At 40.7% G+C, this 2418-nt stretch overlaps 1 annotated feature.

Annotated features, from left to right (window-relative positions):
- Positions 553 to 753: a silencer, noted in NCBI's record as "peak7166 fragment used in MPRA reporter construct". NCBI's record gives its function as "represses an SCP1 promoter by STARR-seq MPRAs in K562 erythroleukemia cells {active_cell/tissue: K562}" and the evidence as "EXISTENCE:reporter gene assay evidence [ECO:0000049][PMID:32103011]".

Raw genomic sequence — 2418 nt, 5'->3', positions numbered from 1 at the left:
AACTCTGTAATAGACCCTAATGAAAGTCTCAGACCATTGATATCTTTCTTTGGTGCTTGACACTTGTCCCAGGAAAACCCTGCTGTGTGTCAACTATGATAGAACACAACAGTCAATGTTTAAACATCTCATCTCCACAAGTTATCTTTCTGGAATGCAACCAATTCATCTTGTATGAGGGGAAAGATGTGGGCAGGTTTCTGAGTGATAAAAATCATTCAGAAGGAATCCAGTTGCCACATGCAAGATATTGCTATATGAATATTTGATTCAAGGGCGTGTGGAACTGGTTATCAATAATTCAGTCATCATTTAATATCAGAGACATGGAATGTACCCAACTGTTGTATTAGTTTATACATTAGGGTGACTGAGATGTAGCGTGTTATTGCCACTGTCACATTTCTTGTGTTCCACGATGACAACATGGCTTATAAAGACTGAGATTATATACCTATTCTGCCACCCAGATTCATAAAACATTTGGGAGCTGCTAGACCAGCTCTACTGGGAGAAGTTGTGAAGAGGAAAGCAGACTAACAGTCTGTTTCAGTTTGCATTCTTTCAAAAGAAGCAGTCCCTGAGATGGGCATGAGGAAACAATTAGTTTATTTGAGAGGTGAAATAAAGACTAGTTGGGGAGTGGATGACACAAGGGAGAGAAGGCAGTCAGTTAAGAGTTTATCTTTAATTGGCCAATTCTTAAGCCAGCTACCACTACAGCTGCCTGGAGTTTAATCCCATGCAGTCACTCTGAGTTATCACACCCAAGGGATGAGGAAGCTGAGTTACAACCATTCCCATTAGTCATTGGTTGAGAGCTGTTCCTGAAGAGGATTAATTCTCTGGTATGTCCAGCCTAGCACACGGACATGAAAAGCATGTCTCAGAGAGGAAATTCTTACACGTAGAAATGCAGGAGTCGTTAGCTGAAAATGGGAATTCGCCACTGTGTCACAGCAGCTGGCTCTTCAGCCTGTCTCAGCCACCCAGACAGAAGTGAAGGGAGCCAACATTTATTAAGTACCCACTATGTGCCAAATGCATTGCACACGTTATAACATCTTACCTCTACAATAAAGAAAACATGTAGTCCATTTTCCAAGTGAATGAAGTAGATGTCAGAGAAACAAGGCACTTGTCCAAGCCAGCCCAGTATCAGCAAATAAGTGAGGACTTAGACTCAATTCTCTCCAGCCTTGAAACAGGCACCTTTTCAATAAAAGGCATTAGAATTCCTCCGTGCAGTCACATTAGGCAATGCTAAGTCATTTAGACTCAATCTGCTAATCCAAATTTTGACTGATGGTTTCCAAACATTTCCAGTTTTGCCTGGTTTCTCCCCCTGCCTAGGATGCCTTTCTCTTTTCAAAGTTCTTATCTAAGCTGGGCTTCTGGCAACTCTGAACCTAGGCTTGGCTAAGAAGAAGACTAAGACTTAACAAGCAGAGCTGAGTGTAAACAGTCTATCCTATTTGGTAGAATAGGATGATGGTGATGTTGGTATTTTTAACAAGCATTTAAAGTAATTCTCATGCATACCAGAGTTTGACAACCACATGTAAGGAAAAAACAAGAAAGGAGAATGTGCATGGGATGCTCAGAAAAAGACCAGGGAGAATCCTATGGCTGTAGCTGTGGAGGAAGAGTCTGGCAGGTGGGCAGAGGCCAGCACAAATGGCCTTCGAATGCCAGGCTACTAACTTTTATCCCCTCCTGGGGAAAATAAACCACTCTTGTAAATTTCCGAGCATGGAAAGTGTCGTATACAAAATGATATTTCAGGAAGATTAATCTGGCAGCCATGAACTAACTAGATTCGAAAAGAGGATTAAAACCAGGAACACAGTATCAAAATATAAGAAGCTTTTAGAAATTTCCCTTGGGTCCCTGGGGTTTAACTTTTTCATTTTTTCTCTTTTCTATCCTAAATTAGAGACAAGCCAATCTAGCTTTGCTCAAATCTTGAGCTGAGTTTCAAGGACTTGCTGTTGGCAAAAGGCATTCAGAAAATTCCCTCTTCTGACTTTGTAAAGTGTAAAAATCCAACCAGTCTCATTTCTCTTACTTTTCACTTATTATTCTGCTTCATAAGAGACTTTTAAGAAGTCTTCTTCCCCTTACTATTGGAAACTTAAATTATTTTTATTTCTATAGTGATAAGCTTTTGAGTTAAAGCTACAAAGTTCTGATGCCTGGAGAGCCAAAATGCTAAATGTGGAAACACATTATCTCATCTTGCCAGATAGTTTGCAAAACCTTCTTAGGTATGGTGGTCCACAAAGCATGCTGTGGATGATTAATGCACAGACACATGCACACACGAAGATCTGGTTTCTGCCTCTGTCCATGCCCTGGATGACATGTCAATCCTGCCCTTTATCCTGATAAGGGGTTTTGTTCTCAGTCCTGAAAACC

This window comes from Homo sapiens, chromosome 8 (assembly GCF_000001405.40).
Source record: "Homo sapiens chromosome 8, GRCh38.p14 Primary Assembly".
NCBI lineage: Eukaryota > Metazoa > Chordata > Mammalia > Primates > Hominidae > Homo > Homo sapiens.
This window is presented reverse-complemented; position numbering and strand designations above follow the sequence as displayed.